The sequence below is a fragment of the Homo sapiens genome, chromosome 6 (genome assembly GCF_000001405.40).
Source record: "Homo sapiens chromosome 6, GRCh38.p14 Primary Assembly".
In the NCBI taxonomy this organism is placed as follows: Eukaryota; Metazoa; Chordata; class Mammalia; order Primates; family Hominidae; genus Homo; species Homo sapiens.
The window spans coordinates 106,149,370-106,168,744 of NC_000006.12; the positions used below are offsets into that span (position 1 = coordinate 106,149,370).

General features: G+C 45.5%; 9 annotated features.

Moving 5' to 3' along the window:
• Positions 13,836–14,682: an enhancer, noted in NCBI's record as "H3K27ac-H3K4me1 hESC enhancer chr6:106611080-106611926 (GRCh37/hg19 assembly coordinates)". NCBI's record gives its function as "activates a minimal SCP1, AML or CMV promoter by ChIP-STARR-seq in primed H9 embryonic stem cells {active_cell/tissue: H9 hESC(primed)}" and the evidence as "EXISTENCE:reporter gene assay evidence [ECO:0000049][PMID:30033119]".
• Positions 14,144–14,223: an enhancer, noted in NCBI's record as "active region_24879". NCBI's record gives its function as "activates an Ori minimal core promoter by ATAC-STARR-seq in GM12878 lymphoblastoid cells {active_cell/tissue: GM12878}" and the evidence as "EXISTENCE:reporter gene assay evidence [ECO:0000049][PMID:35858748]".
• Positions 14,683–15,529: an enhancer, noted in NCBI's record as "H3K27ac-H3K4me1 hESC enhancer chr6:106611927-106612773 (GRCh37/hg19 assembly coordinates)". NCBI's record gives its function as "activates a minimal SCP1, AML or CMV promoter by ChIP-STARR-seq in primed H9 embryonic stem cells {active_cell/tissue: H9 hESC(primed)}" and the evidence as "EXISTENCE:reporter gene assay evidence [ECO:0000049][PMID:30033119]".
• Positions 14,683–15,593: a biological region, named in NCBI's record as "H3K27ac-H3K4me1 hESC enhancer GRCh37_chr6:106611927-106612773".
• Positions 14,954–15,053: an enhancer, noted in NCBI's record as "active region_24880". NCBI's record gives its function as "activates an Ori minimal core promoter by ATAC-STARR-seq in GM12878 lymphoblastoid cells {active_cell/tissue: GM12878}" and the evidence as "EXISTENCE:reporter gene assay evidence [ECO:0000049][PMID:35858748]".
• Positions 15,074–15,123: an enhancer, noted in NCBI's record as "active region_24881". NCBI's record gives its function as "activates an Ori minimal core promoter by ATAC-STARR-seq in GM12878 lymphoblastoid cells {active_cell/tissue: GM12878}" and the evidence as "EXISTENCE:reporter gene assay evidence [ECO:0000049][PMID:35858748]".
• Positions 15,134–15,593: an enhancer, noted in NCBI's record as "active region_24882". NCBI's record gives its function as "activates an Ori minimal core promoter by ATAC-STARR-seq in GM12878 lymphoblastoid cells {active_cell/tissue: GM12878}" and the evidence as "EXISTENCE:reporter gene assay evidence [ECO:0000049][PMID:35858748]".
• Positions 17,417–18,152: an enhancer, noted in NCBI's record as "OCT4-NANOG hESC enhancer chr6:106614661-106615396 (GRCh37/hg19 assembly coordinates)". NCBI's record gives its function as "activates a minimal SCP1, AML or CMV promoter by ChIP-STARR-seq in naive H9 embryonic stem cells {active_cell/tissue: H9 hESC(naive)}" and the evidence as "EXISTENCE:reporter gene assay evidence [ECO:0000049][PMID:30033119]".
• Positions 18,390–18,509: an enhancer, noted in NCBI's record as "active region_24883". NCBI's record gives its function as "activates an Ori minimal core promoter by ATAC-STARR-seq in GM12878 lymphoblastoid cells {active_cell/tissue: GM12878}" and the evidence as "EXISTENCE:reporter gene assay evidence [ECO:0000049][PMID:35858748]".

The window sequence follows — 19,375 nt, forward strand, 5'->3', positions numbered from 1 at the left end:
GATGGCCAAGCACAGAAAGGACAACCTTTATCCTGAATGAACAAGGACCTTGACATGATTGTGAGGAGGGAAGTGAAGAGTCTCCATGCTGAACAAAACCAATGGTGGGTAGAGATTGAGAGAGGCTGGCTTCACTTTAGTTTGGGGGGAAAAAAGAACTATGGGGTTTAACTGATCACAGAGCTAGTGTATGCTGAGCATGTGATCTATCTACTGATAAATGAAAGCAGTAGAAGGATGATGATGTCACAGCAGAGGTAACAGTTGTGGTCACATCAGACCACATCCAGGGGTTCATTTGCTCTTGTCCAGAGGCGGGCATTTGGCAAGATGAGGGGTGTACAAATCCCCCATCACAAGGCCTTGGGTGCTTAATCTGGAGCAGAGAACTTGTGTTGAGGTGGTGGTGGTGATGACACATAATAGTTCCTCAGATAGTTCAAAGACTTAAAACTTGCACTGTGTTTTTCCATGTTGGGCAGGATTTGTAGCAGTTGGTGAAAGTTAGGGGGATGCAGACTTTAGGCCAATAGCTTGCTACTAAGAACTTGCTCAGATCCCACCCCTGGGGGCAGAGATGATATGACTCCATGTCAAAGAGGCCTTGGTGGGATTCCTGCTCACATGAGAGGTAGCACAAGATGATTTCAAACTCCCTTACTGCCCCAGGAGAATGAGCTGTAGAGGTAGAATATAAGACAGTGTGTCCAGTTCCTCCCAGAGCCAACATACCCATTATATATGTTGGCACAGTGCCTAGAGCCCATGATACTTATAGGGGCCTACACACTGTTTTAATTTTTGTCTCACATCAGAAAAAGGGCAGGGAGTGGTGGCTCATGCCTGTAATCCCAGAACTTTGGGAGGCTAAGGCAGGAGGATTGCCTGAGGCCAGGAGTTTGAAACCTCCTTGGGCAACATAATGAGATCCCATCTCTAAAAAAAAGAAAGAAAATGTTTAGGGCCTACAAAAATAAATTACATTTTGGCTAAGAAAAAAAAAAGTTGAAGTATTTAAAGTTATATAAAAATAATTTTTATAGTGAGATTATGGTGGTGGGAGGAACCTACGGAGGCAATAGTCATGAGTGCCATTGAAGGTCATAAGGTGGCTCTGGCCCCGCGTAAGGCCCGGCTACATGCATGCCTCAGCTCCTGCAAGGGATCTCTTTCTTTCTTTTTTTTTTTTTTTAAACAGAGTCTCACTCTGTTGCCAGGGTTGGAGTACATGGAGCAATCTCGGCTCACTGCAACCTCCACGTCCCAGGTTCAAGCGATTCTCCTGCCTCAGCCTCCCAAGTAGCTGGGATTAGAGGCACCTGCTACTACGCCCAGCTAATTTTTTTGTATATTTAGTAGAGATAGGGTTTCACCATGTTGGCCAGGCTGGTGTCAAACTCCTGGCCTTGTGATTCTCCTGCCTTGGCCTCCCAAAGTGCTGGGATTACAGGCGTGAGCCATCGCTCCCAGCCGCAAGGGATCTCTTTCTGGCCTCAGCCAGCTCCAGCTGTGCACTGGAACAACCCAAACTCCTAAACTACCCAGTCATGATACTTTCCTCCCATCGGTTCTGTGGATCTGGGGATGTTCTTTTCCCATTTAAACAAAGACAGGACATTCTCCATGCCAGAAGCAACCCACTGGTCTAAGCAAACTAAAGAAAACAGTCCGGGCGTGGTGGCTCAGGAATGTAATCCCAGCACTTTGGGAGGCTGAGGTGAGGGGATCACTTGAGGTCACAAGTTGGGGATCAGCCTGGCCAACATGGCAAAATCCCTTCTCTACTAAAAATATAAAAATTAGCTGGATATGGTGGCCCACGCTAGCAATCCCAGCTACTTTGGAGGCTGAGGTGGGAGAAGTGCTTGAACCTGGTAGGCAGAGGCTGCAGTGGGCTGAGATCATGCCACTGTACTCCAGCCCGGGCAACAGGGGGAGACTCCATCATATATATCACAATGCTATACAATTATTACATTATACCCAAAACATTTTCATCATCTCCAACAAAAACTCTGCACATATTCAACAACAATAACTCTCCCTTCCCCATTCCACCATCCCTTGGTAACCCATTCTACTTTCTGTCTCTGTTATACTTTCTGTCTGTATGAATTTGCCTATTCCATGTACCTTGTATAAGTGAAATCATACAATATCTGTCTTTTTGTGTCTGGCTTACTTCACTAAGCATAACGCTTCCAAAATGTATCCATGTTGTAGCACATATCAGAATTCGACTCTTTTATATAGGTGGATAATATTGCACTGTATGAATATACCATATTTTGGTCTCCATTCATCTGCTAATGGTCACTTGGGTTATGATATGGTTTGGCTGTGTCCTCACCCAAATCTCATCTTGAATTGTAGCTCCCATAATTCTCATGTGTTGTGGGAGGGACCCAGTGGGAGATAGTTGAATCATGGGAGTGGTTTCCCCTATACTGTTCTCTTGGTAGTCAATAAGTATCAGGAGATCTGATGGGTTTTATAAGGGGAAACCCTCTCGCTTGACTCTTGTTCTCTCTTATCTGCCCACCATGCTAGGTGTGCCTTTCGCCTTCTGCCATGATTGTGAGGCCTCCCCAGCCACGTGGAACTGTGAATCCATTAAGCTTCTTTTTCTTCATAAATTACCCAGTCTCAGGTATGTCTTTATCAGCAGCGTAAAAACAGACTAATACAGTAAATTGATACTGGTAGAGTGCAGCACTGCTGTAAAGATACCCAAAAACGTGGAAGCAAATTTGGAACTGGGTAACAGGCGGTGGCATCAGTGTGACCTGGATGTGAGACACGGAGTCAAAGGTGATCATTTTGGAGCTTTAAGATTTGACTGCCCTGCTGGATTTCTGACTTGCATGGGGCCTTTAGCCCCTATGTTTGGCCAACTTCTCCCATTTGGAATGGGTGTATTTGCCGAATGCCTGTACTCCCATTGTACCTAGGAAGTTAACTATCTTGCTTTTGATTTTACAGGCTCATAGACAGAAGGGACTTGCCTTGTCTCAGATGAACTTTGGACTGTGGACTTTTGAATTAATGTTGAAATGAGTTAAGACTTTGGGGGACTGTTGGGAAGGCACGACTGGTTTTGAAATGTGAGGACATGAGATTTGGGAAGGGCGAGGGGCAGAATGATATGGTTTGGCTGTGTCACCACCTAAATCTCATCTTGAATTGAATTGTATTTTCTATAATTTCCATGTGTTGTGGGAGGGATCTGGTGGGAGATAATTGAATCATGGAGGTGGTTTCCCCCATACTGTTCTCATGGTAGTGAATAAGTCTCATGAGAGCTGATGGTTTGATAAGGGGCTTCCCCTTTCACTTGGCTGTCATTCTGTCTTACCTGCCGCCATGTAAGACATGGTTTTCACCTTCCACCATGACTGTGAGGCCTCCCCAGCCACGTGGAACTGTGAGTCCATTAAGCCTCTTTTTCTTTATAAATTATCCAGTCTCAGGTATGTCTTTATCAGCAGCATGAAAATACAGGTTGCTTCCATCTTTTGGCTGTTTTGAATAATGCTGCTATGAACAATGGTATACGAGAATCTGTTCGAGTCTCCACTTCCAATTTTCTTGGATATACATATGGGAGCAGAATTGCTGGGTCACATGGTAGTTCTCTGTTTAACCTTTTAGGAAAGCGCCAAACAGTTTGTAATCATGTTTTGAGGAACATGCTGAGCTGTTAGTCAACTTTCTTGGGTGGAGATGGTTGGGATGTTTGAGCTGGGAGTAGAGATGAATAACGCTGCAGCTTGAATCAGGCCAAAGAACCAGAGAAAAAGCATGGTTAGACCTCAGGCATTCTTCTGCCCACGGTGCTGACAGGCCACCCTGGACACTTTCTTTGTCACAATGATTGTTAGGTGGACGAAAACCAGAAAATCATTTGACAAACAGAATTATTCACTATTATCCCCTGACCAAGACAGCATAACACAGCCATCACCCAGGACAGGGGAATAGTTTCATTAGACTGAATTCTTGCTTAAAACCGTTCACTTATTTTTTTAATTTACAGAATATATCATATAAACAAAAAGAATACATAAGTATAGATTTAATAACAAAAAATTAATGCTGCCAAATCTACCAATCAGCTTAAGAAATAGACCTTTACAACATGTTTGAAGGCATTTACCCCTTTCTGATCACCTTCTCCTTCCCTACCTCACATGTAACCACTATCCAGAATGTAGTCTATTATACTCTTGTTTTTCTTTTCTTCTTCTTTTTTTTTTGAGACGGAGTCTCACTCTGTCGCCCAGGCTGGAGTGCAGTGGTACGATCTCAGCTCACTTCAACCTCCGTCTCCTGGGTTCAAGCGATTCTCCTGCCTCAGCCTCCCAAGTAGCTGGGATTACAGGCACATGCCAGCATGCCGGGCTAATTTTGGTATCTTTAGTAGAGATGGGTTTTCACCTTGTTGGCCAGGCTGATCTTGATGACCTCCTGACCTCAGGTAATCTGCCCACCTCGGCATTCCAAAGTGCTGGGATTACAGGCGTGGGCCACCACGCCTAGCCACTCTTGTTTTTCTTTATAGCTATATCATATATATGTATGCCTAAGTAGTATATTGTCTAATTTTGCATGTTTTAGTAAAATCATCTGATATGTGTTTTTCTGTGACCTGCTTTTTCATGCGTCATTATACTTTGGAGATTTATCCATACTGAACTGTGTAGCTGTAATTCCTTCATGTTCACTGCTGTGCTGTGGGTTCCATTTTATGCATATTCTAAATGTATTGACCTATTCTACTAAAGATGGGCCATTTCAGTATTTCCTAAGAGTTCTTTTTTTTTTTTTTTTTAAAGGATCTTCATTGGCTTTATTTGTGATTCTAGAATCTGGCAACACTTCATTCCACAAAGTAGAATGTGTTCCCGTAAGAGTTCATTCTAACCAGGGTTTTTCTCTCACAGTAATTGATGCTAAATAGTTTTAATTGCCTGTCTCCCTACATGTGTAGGTTTTGTCTCCAGATTGTGAACAAGAGGGGAACAGGTACCAAGTATCTCTTCTTTTGTTGGCTTAACAAGCCTGGAGTGATCCTACCACATCCTGGGCCGCTTGTTCTAAGCACCGCCTAGTGGACCCGGCTGCCGTGTCTCCGCCCCTGTCCGACCCTCCCGTCAGAGCTGATTGGACCAGAGGCAGATACTTGACTCAAGGTGGGCCAATCAGACGCACTCTCTTGAGGATTTTAAACTCTAAAGAGATACAGCTCTGTTTCTTTGTGCTTGGCCCTGTAAAAGCAGATATTTGGGGCTCTGGTTCTGCTGTGTCTCCCTTATGCTGTGCATGGAGGGGAAAGGGAGGATGGGGTTGAGGGGGTTGCTGGTATGTGAATGAGGGGACTGAATAGGATGGATAGAATTTTTTTTTTAAGAGCAGGTGTGGGGAAAGAGCCCTAAAAGCCTTCCAGGCCTCCGTCCACCCTTGGTCCCAGGAGACCCACCTGCTGGGTCTCTCATAATTGAACTTTCTGGCTTCAATTAATTTCAGTTGTTTTCTATTACTTGTAATCAAAGACTCTTATCTGTCCAATTTTCTTCCTCCCACTCATTCAGAAGAAATGCAGAGCTGTCCAGGGACACCTATAAACCCAAGAATGAGTTAAATTCTTTCCCTACCTCACTAGAGAGAGGAAATTCTCCATTTCCAGAGGCAGTTGGCTTCAGAGAGTTAAACAATGGAGTGAATACTTAACTGTTTTGAGCTGCTAATGCCAGTTTTATGTCACCTGGGTATAAGGCAACTATACTTGTTTTATCTCATGGAGTTATTTTGACCAGCTCTTAGAAATGGCTGTATTTTGCTCTTAACTTCCTACAAAAATGCAAGATAAAGATAACTCCCCATTATCCTCAGGTGACTGGGAGGGTAACCATGAATAAATGAATTTTACAGATAATCCCCAAACCTTATCTAAACTCTTATCTTCGCCAATAGCTTCCTCTTCGGCCTTTTACCAGAGCCGTTGACAAGAGGCAAATGGACTGTGACAAGCGGAGTTTTTATCTCCTTTTACTTCCCTTCCACACCTCCAGTGGAGAAGGCTAATGAGCAATGACAAGGAAGAAAAGACAGGTGGCAGGAGGGCAAAGAGAAGAGACAGAAGCCTGGATGCTTTGAGCATTAGCGAAACAGCTCCAGGAGTTGGAAGAAGTTGGAGGGCTCTGAGAACATATATCACCGAAAGATGGGGAAGAGAAACGGGACACCCAAGCGTGACAATGCCTTGTGGTCTTGCTCCACATTTCACAACATGCTTTTCCAAAGTTCAGATGGCTGCATTTAGGAGACAACATATTCCTTCCAAGTACTTTCGGTTCTGAAGATGCGGCCCTCGTTAAATGCAAGTGCACTTTCCTCCTAAGATTGGTTTTGCTCTCTTTTATCAGCACACGCAGCCCCTCAAGGCAGTGGATTTTTTATTCTAGCCTCTGCTAAGTGGTGGAGCCAGCCCCAAATGCCCCATCACACTTTTTTTTTTTTTTTTTTTTTTTTTGAGACAGAGTCTCACTCTGTCACCCAGGCTGGAGTGCTTGGCGTGATCTTGGCTCACCGCAACCTCCGCCTCCCAGGTTCAAGCGATTCTCCTGCCTCAGCCTCGAGCAGCTGGGACTACAGGTGTGGGCCACCATGCCTGGCTACTTTTTTTTGTATTTCTAGTAGAGACCGGGTTTCACCATGCTGGCAGGCTGGTCTCAAACTCCTGACCTCAGTTGAACCACTCACCTTGGCCTCCCAAAGTGTTAGAATTACAGGTGTGAGCCACCACACCTGGCCCTCCTCTCACTTTAGAGAGTAGCCATTCAGCTTTGAAGTGTAACTTGTGGTGAGCTGTCTTCTGCCTCCCCTTTTTGCGTTGGGAACTACTGTATGGCCACAAAAATGAGTGCAGAGGTGAGGATGCTTGTCCAGCCGTGCCATCTTTGGAAAGGGTTGAACATTCAGTTGCTAAACTGCAGCCAACTGAATCAGATAATCTTTTGTTGAGCTCTTTCAAATGTAACATTTCAAACTTGCTCTCAGAAACTGTTAGGTATGCACTGCTGAGACCTTGAATTTGGAGGGTAATACCAGAACATAAGCTTGCCAGCAGAGGAAGACAATGGTGTCTCATTATTCATGGAAACATACTGTTGCTGTGCTTTGGTTCAAGTTTTGATGAACAGAAAATGTGCTCTGAACTTATTTTCCTTTTTGTGAAATCCTGACACAGCATTTCTGATTTCAAAGGAAGCTGTATAAAAAGACCAACAGAAACCCCACAAAATGAGACCACCTTAAAATCAAGTTTACTGACTAAATGGGATTAAGCTAGAGTTGTGTTCGAAAAACAATAAACGAGAAAAAAACAAGTCTTTGCTGCATGGTGCCCACTTCTGTCTAAACCGCTCTGAAGTCCAGATGCAAGCTGTCACTGGAGCATCTCTGGAGAGAGCGTGGGAAGTTAAAAGTCAGTGTTTTTGATTAATTAATAATCATCCTCAGCTGTGTTGGCAAATGATTAAAAACAAATTGTCTGCCTTTAAAGTAAGGGTGGAAGATGTGTGCTTACCCAGAACCGAAGGGGAAGGAGGAACAGCCCTGTTGGCCTAGTCTGCCCTTGACTAGTCTGGTGGTGGTTGAACAAAGACGACGTTGTATGCCTCTTGCCCTATAAAATCCTGATTAGGAAGGAACAGCCATAGCTTGGGCAGTCAGTCAGGGAGGGAGGCAAAGGAAGCCAGTGTCTAAGGAATAGCCCAAAGGACTATTTTATGGCTACCAAGTTGTCTTCAAGAACAACTCAATGAAGCATTCACAGGAATAACTGTTTCTCTCTGTCATTGTGAAAGTCATTTGAGCTGGAGTCAGCAGGCTGTAGCTGAGTGTGAGTGAGTGTGAGTGTGTGTGTGTGAGAAAGAGTCTGTGTGTGTGTGTGTGTACTGGGATAAGGTGAAGTTTTACTGGTGGTTTAGAGGAGAAATGAGAGCTCTTTTCTTTTTAAAATTTGCCACCTGTAAGCTAAACAATGTCAGTATCATTCTTTCCTGAAGACCCTGCAGCTGCCGTTCAGTGCCATGTCTCTCCCTCCAGATCCTGTAGTTTTTAGCCATGTATCACAGTCATTCCACCTCTGCCAATGCAGTGACTTTTGCCTTTTTGACAGTACCTGGCACAGATTATTGGAGATAGCAGACACAATACACATCTTCAATAATGGGATGCCTGGGGGGAGGCTGGACCAATGAATGGGCCTGTGCCAGATGCTGTGTTTATCCTGTTGCTCAAAATTCTATATTCCCCAGTGACTGCAACATTTGCCTCCTTTTCTTCTCCCCACTGCCAGAGCCATGGTGCAGGTGCTGATTAATTTTTGCCTATTCTACTCTCAGGGTCTGTGAATAATCCTCTTCTTCTACCTGCCTTTAATCCATCCTACACATTCAGTTCACCCTGATTCTATCCTGCCCCAGCCTCCAAACTCTCTGGGACCCCTCATTCCTTGCCAAATAACACTATGATTTAAGAGCCTTCACACTGTGGACCCAGAAGATGTTTTCACCCTAACTCATACTATCCCTTATGTATCGATTGTCTCACAGCCTGTGCAATCGAGCAGCACACTGCCTAACTTGCTCTTATTTTCCTACTTTCATCCCTCAGTAAAACCCTACTCAGACTTTATATGTCAAATACCAATTCTTCCGTGAAGTTTTTTATTTCACCAGTTGGATATGATTTCCTTTCTTCTGATTTTTTTTTTTTTTTCGAGACAAGTTCTCACTTTGTCACCAGGCTGGAGTGCAGTGGTACTATCACGGCTCACTGCAGCCTTGGCTTCCAGGCTCAAGTGATCCTCCCACCTCAGGCTCCCAAGTAGCTGGGACTACAGGTGTGTGCCACCATGCCGAGGTAAGTTTTAATTTTTGTAGAGAAGGAGTCTTGCTATGTTGCCCAGGCTGGTCTCAAACTCCTGGGCTCAAGCAATCTGCCTGCCTTGGCCTCATAAAGTGCTAGGATTACAGGCGTAAGCCACCATGCCAAGCCACCTTCTTTTGATTTTTACTCAGCGTTCTGCTCTGCCTTTTGTATTAGACTCTTTACGTGCTGGTCTAACTACCTGATTAGAAGCCCCTGAGGTCAGGAAGGTCACATTCATCTTTGCTTGCTGCTAAATTATATTCAGGGTGAACCAGGCAACCAGTGCTCCTCCTGCTAGGAGTCTGCAGTTTAGCAGTCCACACTGGCATAGCTGCAGCCCCTTATCTGAGACCTGGTACCAGAATCGACATGGAAAAACCCAAAACTTCAACACATTAAATACTCACCTATGTTTATTTTCTGCTATATTGCAAATTACCAGCAATTTAGTGGCTTCATACAATACCCACTTATTAGTACACAGTTCTCTAAGTCAGAAGTCTGGAACGGTGTGGCTGGGTCCTCTGCTTAGGGCATCACAAGGTTGAAATCTAGGTGTTGGCCTGAGTTTTTCTCTGGAGGTGATGAGGAAATAATCCACTTGTAGCTTTTTCCTGTTGATAGAATTCTGCTCTCTGTGGTCATAAGACTGAAGTCCTCCGTATCATGGAATCAGGCCCACTGGGATCATTTTTTCTTTCTTAAGGTCACCTATGTCATAAAATAGCAGCTAATCATGGGAATAAAATCCATGGTATTCTCAGGGTGTATACACAAAGGAGGATGCAGGAAATCCTGGGTGCATCTTAGAATCCTGCCCACCACATCACCTTAAATATAAATGTGAGGCACTGGTGAGCTGAGGACAAATCCACTTTTGGACAATGGTAGCTGGGGAGGCCACTGTGTTTCTTTAATGAGTCTAGAAAGATGTCCAAGAGAAGGGAAAGCTTAGGAGTTCTTGGAAAGTTGGGAGGGTCCTGGAATTTCTGAAAGTAACTTGATGGTGTGGAGGGGTGGGTTTTCCCGGTTAAAAAATGGAGATGAGGAAGGGGGCTCAGGGAGTGGATGAGATGTGCAGGGAGTGGGTGGGAGTGCTGACGCTGAAGGAACCAGAGACTGGCATGGGTAGCAAAGCAGCAGGGAAGGAAACTCATCTGGGAGCCCCGAGTCAGGGCTGTGATTCTGATCTGCAGTGTGGGGAAGGTGCTGGTATGGCCGAGGCCCACGGCAGAGGGGATCACCTCAGTGGATGTGCTGGAGCGAGTGGAGGGTCCTGCTGAGACAAGTCTATGGGAGGCCGAGGAGAGCTGCGTGGCCTGCAGGAAGTCTGCCAGCTGTCGTGGAGGGAGACTAAGGAAGGCAGGGGCTTTGGCTGCTGGGCTACCATGAGGGTGAGATTTCCCAGAAGAATGTCTAGCAAAGAACTCTTGGCTATGAATAAAGGAGGAAACATTTTCCAAGAGACCACAGAGCCCAAGGCAGTGCCAAGTGCTGGCCCATGGGCCACAAAGTTAGCTGCTGACTCACCCTGTGACTACAGGCACCTTACTTGGCCTCTCACTGCCTTTGTTTCCTCATCTATAAAATGGAGACTAACAATAATTCTGCCACTGCTCAGTCTAAATAGCACATAGAGAACACTTTGCAGTCACTAGCTGCCAGGAATATGCCTCTGCCTTTTCGTGGGCTCTGCACTGTGGCTCCACCTGTAACCTGAACTAACCATTCGCTGCTGGGGAAGAACACAACACAGGTGCAGTGTAGCCTGTTGCGGCCCAGCCCTGGGTCAGGCTGGTTCGGAGACCCCTTCCCTAGCTGGACCCTGGGCCTCAGGAGAGTCACATCCAAACTGTGTGTAAGTCAAACAGCAATTCTTGTTTAGGAGACCACTTTGTGATACATAACCTCCTGCTAGATTCCTTCCTTGAAGGAATTTTCTTGGGGATTCCAAGTGAAGAAGTTTCCCCAAGTCACATGTAACTCACCCTTCACTTTCACTCCATCATTCATTTTGTTAGGCAAAGCCCAGGTGTCACTGTTGAAAACTTACCAAATGGTGAGCCTACTATAAAGCTTTGAAACAAGAGCCAAGCATTCGCTCACATTCCGTAGATCCCACAGATGTACTTTGGGTGATGGTTGTAGGAATCTGTAGGCAGGTGTAAGTCCATTTCCTCTCTGGGCCTAGATCAAGTCTAAAAACTCTCAAGACAATATTGGGCCGTTGTTGACATATCCTAGAACTTTCCAGATCCCAACAAGGTGCTTAGAAAGAGGTGGGCTGCTTTATCAAGGACTTTAAGAAGTGAGCAGTGATTTGAACTGAGAAGAAGCTCAAAGGAAAGGGGTTTGATGCCAGCTTCTAGGTCCCAGCAGAAGCCAGGACAAACCCTGGCAGAGAATTGATGTAGCTGGGGCTGCCTTACGATGTACCAAACCTCAGAGAGGAGTCAAAACCAACCCTTAGGCTTTTGTTCCAACCTCATGAGGACACAGTATCAGGAGCTCCTTGCATCCTGAGCAGGAAGGTCCTTCTGTGCCAGGACATGTCTTGTGGCCTGAAGGTGCTCCACTAATGGACAAGCATCGTCTAGGGACTGGATCTTCTCCATGTGGGGTCCTGGAACACAGTCAGGCCACGCAGTTGGGCAGCAGGGTAAAGTGCAATGCGGGGCTGCTCTTAGTGGGTCCACCTTGCCCCCACTGCCAGGACAGAGATAGGGCCTGCGGAGCTATTCTGGGGCATGGTGATGGGCTGAGGATGGGCCTTGGAGCCCTGTGATCACTCTCAGGGTGGCCTGGAACAGGCTGAGAGTCTTCTGGGTTTCCAGGTGGACAGGCTTGTCTTCATCCAGAGCCCCAGGACTCCTGCATTCTGCAGAAGTCTCTGGGTCCACCAGGGCACACGTTCAAAATGCTCTTCCTGTGGTCTCTCTGCTCAACCTGGAAGGCTCTTTCAGCATCTTTCTAGAATTGAGCAGAGTCTGGCTGTATCTTCAACCCTGGATGGCTTTGCCCACAGTAATTCTTGGTTCCTATATTTTTGTCCCTAAACACACCATCTTAGCCTCTAGAATTCTATGATGCCCCTGCTTTGTGAGCTGCAGCAATTTACCAACTTGCTTAATTCCAGGGTTGCTTTTTAGGGAGGAATACTCCCACAAACTCCACCACTAAGGGGCCATGAGACTTTGGGGCAGTCATAGCACTGCTTGGGACCTCAATTTCCTCATCAGTATAATGAGGAAACTGGGCTAGATGATCTCTAAGGTGCTTTTGGGCTCCAACATCCGTTCATCTATGATCCTACCATTCTGAGGCTTCCCTGTAGAGCTTCAGTTATTCATTCAACAAATGCTTATTCAGCAACTCCTGTGCTAAGTCCTGAGGATACACCGTGAACGAGATGTGGCTACTGTCCTCAAGGAGGAGGAAAGTAAAAATTCAAATTAAGAAAAAAAGACATATATAACTTTACTAAACAGTGTGAACTCAGTGGAGTAAGCTGTGACAGTTGAAGGGCCACCTCATTGTTTCCTGATTCTAGGGATCACTTCTCTTCATTGCCTGATGTCCAGTGTCTTGGAAACTGTTGTTTCATATATTTTGTCTGTTTTGTGTGTGTGTGTGTGTGTGTGTGTGTAGGGGTTGTTTCAGGCAGGAAGGTAAATTTGGTCTCCATGACTCCATATTGGCCAGCAGCAGAAGTCCTAGCAAACTTTTTTTTTTTTTTGAGACAGGGTCTTGCTCCATTGCCCAGGCTGGAGCACAATGGCACGAGCCCGGCTCACTGCAGCCTCAATTTCCTGGGCTCAAGAGATCCTCCCACCTCAGCCTCCTATATAGCTGGGACTACAGGCATGTGCCACCATGCTCAGTTAATTTTTTATTTTGTAGAGATGGGGTCTTGCTCTGTTGCTCAGCCTGGTCTCAAACTCCTGGGCTCAAGTGATCCTCCTGCCTCAGCCTCTGAAAGTGCTGGGATTACAGGCATGAGCCACCATGTCTGGCCTCCACCAATTTTTGATCATACAATCTAATTTTTAAAATTGGGCCTGCATCCCCATCATATTTATATTTATCTATAAATTTTATATGTGTACACTTGTGAATACATGTAGCATTAATCATATTTATTAGTAACAGTAAAGCTTAATTTATTTGTTGTTTAGATTGAAACACAGATAGAAATAGAAGTTAAGATATTTTCTTCTTGCACACCAATGGATCATCTGTGTATCTACACATCTAAGGCCAAAGGACTCAGGAAGACCAGTTCTGTGAACTTTCAAAATTGGTTGGAAAAGGTATCTGAGATACTTGGTACGGGTAACAGTACACATTTTGTTCTCAAATCAGAAACAGGAGATTGGTACACTTGGCTGATACCAAATAAAGCTAAGGTTCTACAAAAAGAGTCCTTTAAAAATAGTGTTTGAAAAAAAATTGCATTCCTTGGTCCTATTTGACAAAATTCCCACAATTTTCTCCCTTTACCTTGGTCATACCTTATTTAAATGTCAAAACTGTCCATAAATCTTAAAACGCATTCTCAGTGCTATATACTAGGCAATGTGGAAAAATGCAAAAAAAACCCAAAAAAACAAAAAAACCCTCTGAATACAAATGCCTATCCTGAGTTTAGCTATCTTTGCTTTCCTGCCTGTGTCATGAGTGGGATGCACCCAGGGGTGATGTCTTAGTCCATTTTGTGCTGTAATAACAGAATACCACAGACTGAGTGATTTACAATTAATAGAAATGTCTTGGCTCACAGTTCTGGAGGCTGGGAAGCCCAAGACTGAGGAGCTGGCACCTGGTGGCTACATCATCCCATGGCAAGAGAGCAAGAGAGTGAGAGAGCAAGAGAGTGAGAGAGCGAGACAGCGAGAGAGGGAGAGAGAGAGAGTGCGTGTGTGTAAAAGAGGGCCAAACTCCCTTTTTATAACCAACCTACTCCTGCAGTAACGGCATTAATTCATTCACTCTGCCCTCATGGCCTGATCATCTCTCATCAGGCCCCACCCCCGAACTCTGTTACAATGGGGATTAATTTTCCAATACATGCTTTTTAGGGGACATAGTCAAACCATATCAGGGGGACTTTAACCACCTGCACTTGAAGAGAAAAGGAGAGGGCACTGAATTAGGTCTGTACTTCCTTTCTGAGACTTTAGAAGATATCAAGAGACCTGGCTCACTCCTTTCCTCCAGCAGCCTGTTCAGCGTGGCCCTTGAGCTTGACTCACAAACAGCAGTGGAAAATAAGCAAGGGGAAGAACGTGCCTGCAGAGCCCAAAGTCAGCCTGTAGAGCTCAGGCTGGCAATCACTTTCACTCTGCTGCAGCAAGCACCCCTGGGGCTGCTGCCCAAGGATCAACGCAGCAAACCAGCAGGAAGTGGAATAGTCAGCAGAAAGGGTCAAGGAAACCTATCCTTTGTCAGACAGGAGCTTTATTTCCACTCTGGTCCACAGCCTCAAAGGGCAGCTGCCTCACAGGGAGAGTATTTGACCAAATCCGGTTTGCACGTTTGAAATAAGAACTCCATTTATTGCTCTCTGAAACCGAGTGCTAGAAGGCCCCATTCCCAGCAGCCTTGACACCCCCCGTCCCCTCCTACTGTGACAGTCCAGGTTGTTCCAGCTGCCCTGGCTGATGTCTGGCCCTCCAGGATGGATATGTGTCCAAGAAATCCCAGACCCATCCTCCACTTGGACGATTTTGCAAACCTTCACATAAGAACAGATTGCACAAGCGGTATGTGTGAGGGCTGACGGAAGAAAAAGGGAAGAGCTCTTTCTGCTTATGACTGGGACGCTGTTATTCATCAAGCTCTGGTGTTTCAAGTGAGTTTTGTGGATGAGGAGGCCAAGTCATGTCAGCACTAGAAACCTCCCTGGCCTCAGTCATATGTGCTACCCCACCTCTTCCCCACAGCCCCTGCCATTCCTTTATGAGGACCCTCCCTGTTTCGTGCTTTCACAGAGTAAAGCTGCTGTGAGTGGTGCCTTGAGTCACACCCAGCTCACACTGCCCCACAGAATCTGACACGAGGTCTGGGGTGAACTCTGTGGCCCTGGCCTCCATCTTCTGCCCTGCCCTTGCTTCCTGAGGTGGGCAGGAAGCGGGACTCGCGATGAGGGCTAGGCCCCGGCTTCTGGCAGTGGGGGAGTTTCTATCCTGCCCAAGGGGTTAGGGGAAGGAATGTTGGTCACATGAAATCCAGGGGCGGCTATGTAATGTGGGAGACAGCAAGCATCATGTTCCCACACTGTAAGTCATGATGACACTGTTAAAAACGACGGGTGGGTGGGGGAAAGTGAAAGAAAAAGAATAAGGGGGAACAGAAACCAAAGTGAGGCATACAGAGGCATCAAGCAAGACTAACGGCCAAGGTACGAAGAGAGGCCAGGGGAAGGGGTGGCCTGGAAGGGAGTCAGGAAAAGGCAGACGAATCAGACTGGGTAGGAGGAAAGGAATCAGGCCAAGGAAAACATAATGAGATGTGAAGAGAAGACACGATCATTTGGGGAGATGGCAGGGAATCTGCCACCAAGTACATCAACACAGGGTGTTGAAGGCCGGGGCCAAGAACACCTTTGGGGCATCACCCCAGTACAGCATGGAGCAGCACCTGACTGTGAAATCTGTGTCTCTGCTTGCTGGAGGCCTAACTAAATTCAGATGGAAAGGGTCTGTGAGACTCTTAGAAGAATAGAAAGGGGGATGGAAGTAGAGGGAAAAGACCAGAGAGACCCATCTGTGCTTCACAGCTCTTCACGAGTTCATTCCCAAGCAGGCTTTGCCTGTGGTCTTGTGGGTGATGCAAAAAATTAAGAAAATAAATAAAAATTTTAAAATAGGATCTTTGGCTTTTGTTCTCATAACCTAGGAGAGGGAACAGGTGCACATACACAAAGCACCAAGCAGCAACAATTTTATTGAGACTGTTCAGAGGACACAGTAACAGAATACTGGTTGAATGAATAAATGAAGACCAAAGAAAGGAAATGCAGAAAGGCTTTCTTGACCATGTCATTTGTCATTTTAAAAAATGCAGGAATTGGTCAGACGCGGTGGCTGACACCTATAATCCCAGCACTTTGGGAGGCCAAGGCAGGTGTATCACCTGAGGTCAGGAGTTCCAGACCAGCCTGGCCAACATGGTGAAACCCAGTCCCTACAAAAAAATACAAAAATTAGCCAGGCATGGTGGTGGCCATCTGTAATCCCAGCTACTTGGGAGGCTGAAGCGGGAGAATCGCTTGAACCTGGGAGGTGGAGGTTGCAGTGAGTTGAGATCGTACCATTGCACTCCACCTTGGGCCACAAGCATGAAACTCCGTCTCAAAAAAAAAAAAAAAAAAAAAAGCAGGAATTAAACAGTGTTGGTCAAAATGGATGAAAAATTCAAAAATGGACCAAGAAGGTACAATACCCAGGCTTGACAATAGCATAGCACAGGTTCTGAATCAAAGCAGAGAGCAGGAGGCATAGCTGCCAATTCTAGTCTTCTGGGTGAGCTGAATCTGCCTAGACATGGTATTTAACACCTTAAAAAAAATTTACCCCCTAGGAATCATATTTAGTATATAAAAGGCAACAAGGAAAGACTGGTTAGATGGCCCTAGAGGAGGCCAGTTTGCTAGCATGGAAGCAAGGCTTTCCTGAGGCTGCTGGTTTGGACAGAGACAGATGTTGGAAGACCACTGAAGAGCAAAGATCAGGTGAGTAACCTAGATTGGCAGGAGGCCAGATGCAAGAGGAGAGTGGTTGTATATGTGTGTGTCAAAGAGGCAAGGGCATTCAACTTTCAATTGAGAAAAATGAATAGGGGGGCTGGGCATTGTGGCTCACGCCTGTAACCCCAGCACTTTGGGAGGCTGAGGTGGGACAATCTCTTGAGGTCAGAAGTTCAAGACTAGCCTGGTTAACATGGTGAGACTCCATCTCTAAAAATAAAAGTAAAAAATCAGCCAGGCATGGCGGCATGTGCCTGTAGTCCTAGCTATTCTGGAGGCTGAGGTGGGAGGATTGCTCGTTCCCACCTATTCCCACTATCCACTATCTCTAAAAAGAAAATAAAGAGGAAAAATTGATAGTGAAGATGATGATTACAACAACTAACATTTGAGTGCAAACTGTGTGCCAGGTGATGTTCTAAGCACTTTACATATATTAGTTTATATAATCTTCACTACCACTCCCTGAAGTATTATTATTATTATTTCGAGACACAGTCTCACTCTGCTGCCCAGACTGGAGTATAGTGGAGCAAGCATAGCTCATTGCAACCTCAACCTCCCTGACTTAAGCAAACCTCCTACCTCAGCCTCCCAAATAAAGTTGCATGCCACCATGCCCAGCTGATTTTTTAATTTTTTGTAGAGATGGTGGTCTCACTATGTTATCCAGGCTGGTCTTGAACTCCTGGACTCAAGCGATCCTCCTGCCTTGGCCTCCCAAAGTGCTGGGATTACAGTTGTAAGCCGCCATGGCTGGTCTATTATTATTATTATTATTCTCATTATTATTTGCCTTTTATACAGAAAGAAATCCAAGCAGAGAGAGATCAAACAATTACCCAGAAATTAGCCCAGGACTCTAACATTAAACTCTACAACTCTCTCTGAAGTCATGAAAAATTTAATGTCTCTTTCTTTAGCTGTAAACATCTGTCCTCTAACCTGCCTATATAAGAGACATTGCTGATGATTAAACCTTTGTGAAGAGACTGACTGTGTTGTCATTATGAGAGTGTTAGCATTATTATAAGGCAATGCTTTTTCCAGAAATACTAAATAGATGCTCACATTCTCATGCAATACCACAAGGCCTTTAAGAAGTTTACAGAGGCTCATCAACTAAAGAACCCTCCTGTGTGCTCACAATAGACAATAATGCCAAAGGAATCCTCTCTCAAAAGAAGAAAGGTCTCTTTCTGACACCCTCTTGCAATTCTTTCAAGGTTTGGGGGATGGCACACTTCTTTCTTATAAAATGGTTCCCCACTGAGAATAATAGCTAGGCTCTTGTCCTTACAAGAGCCTCTTCCACAAGGGCCAAACCGGAGGACCAAGCCACCTCAGAAATGGGGTTTTGAATCTGGGAGGCAGCAGATAGAGAAATAGATAGCGAATACATCTGTTTTCACAAGAGCCTGTTGTTCTCTGTACTAACTGCTATAAAAACGACATGAAACTAGCCACACATTAGTTTTGGTTCTCGTGACTAAATCAAGGAATGGCATGATGGTGCTGTGTCATTAGAAATGAAACCAGTTCTTAAGCGAGAGAATAGGGCCAATATTTTAATAACCCGAACAATTTCATAGAAAAATCAAAGCTGAAACTTCAACACCCTAGCCCTGAACACCTGCTGCTTAAGTTGGTTCTGAACCAGTGAAACTATCTTGTCATGAAGACATGGGATGGGCCCTGACTTGCCCAACACTCATGGTGGCTGGGGACATCTTCTTTCCATCTGCTGCCCTGCTAAAGTGGAAACGGGGGCTCAATCTTGGCTTCGACAATGCTGACTGTATTTGGCACTTTAAGAAAAGTACCTCATATTCAATTATTATTTTTTTCAAATACGTAACCTTATATATTTTGATACATATGACGTATCCTCTAATATATGAATTTGGCCTTCCCTGAGGTATTATCATCCACGTTTTTTCAGATGAAGAAACTGAGACTTAAAGACCTAACTAAGTAACTTAGCTAGAAGCAGGCAGAGCTGGGCTTCTGAACAAAAGTGTTCTTATCTGTATCTGCACCACCTCGAATTTGGCCTGCATCACAATAATAATGATGTTGAGGTAGCAAACATTCGTAAGTTGCCTCCCGCCACATCCACTGCCCCTTCTCCTGCCACAGCACCCAGATATTACCTGGAGGCAACCCTCTCCTCCGCACTGCCTCCCCCTTCTCTGGCAGGTGGATACAGCCAGCTCCTAGGGGTGGGTCCTCCTGCGCTTCGGTCAATCAGAGCACCCATCATCTGGCCGGGTGATTGGCTCAGGGGTGGGCATATGGGCTGATTCAGGCCAATGAGGTTTGAGGAAACGTTCACTTGCGCTTCTGGGAAAAAGCTTCCTCAGTCCTCTGTTGTAACACAGGGGAGACAATCCCTCTTTTCCTGGCTGATGTATTGGAGAACACAGAAAGCCCAAAATCCCTCAGCCATTTGTCCCACCAAGAGAAGTGCCAGCCTGAGCAAGAAGCCAGCACACAGAAGAGGCAGCCCTTATGAACAAAACAGACCTGGCGCTGGGATCATGAAGAGGGTGTAAATTCCAGATCAAGCTGTGGAGTTTTCAGGCTGTGAGCCAATGCAATCCCTTGGTTGGCTTAAGCTGGCTTGCGTTTGATTTTCTGTCGCGTGGAAATCCTTAACCAGTATGAACACTGTTGGTGCCGCTCCCAGTA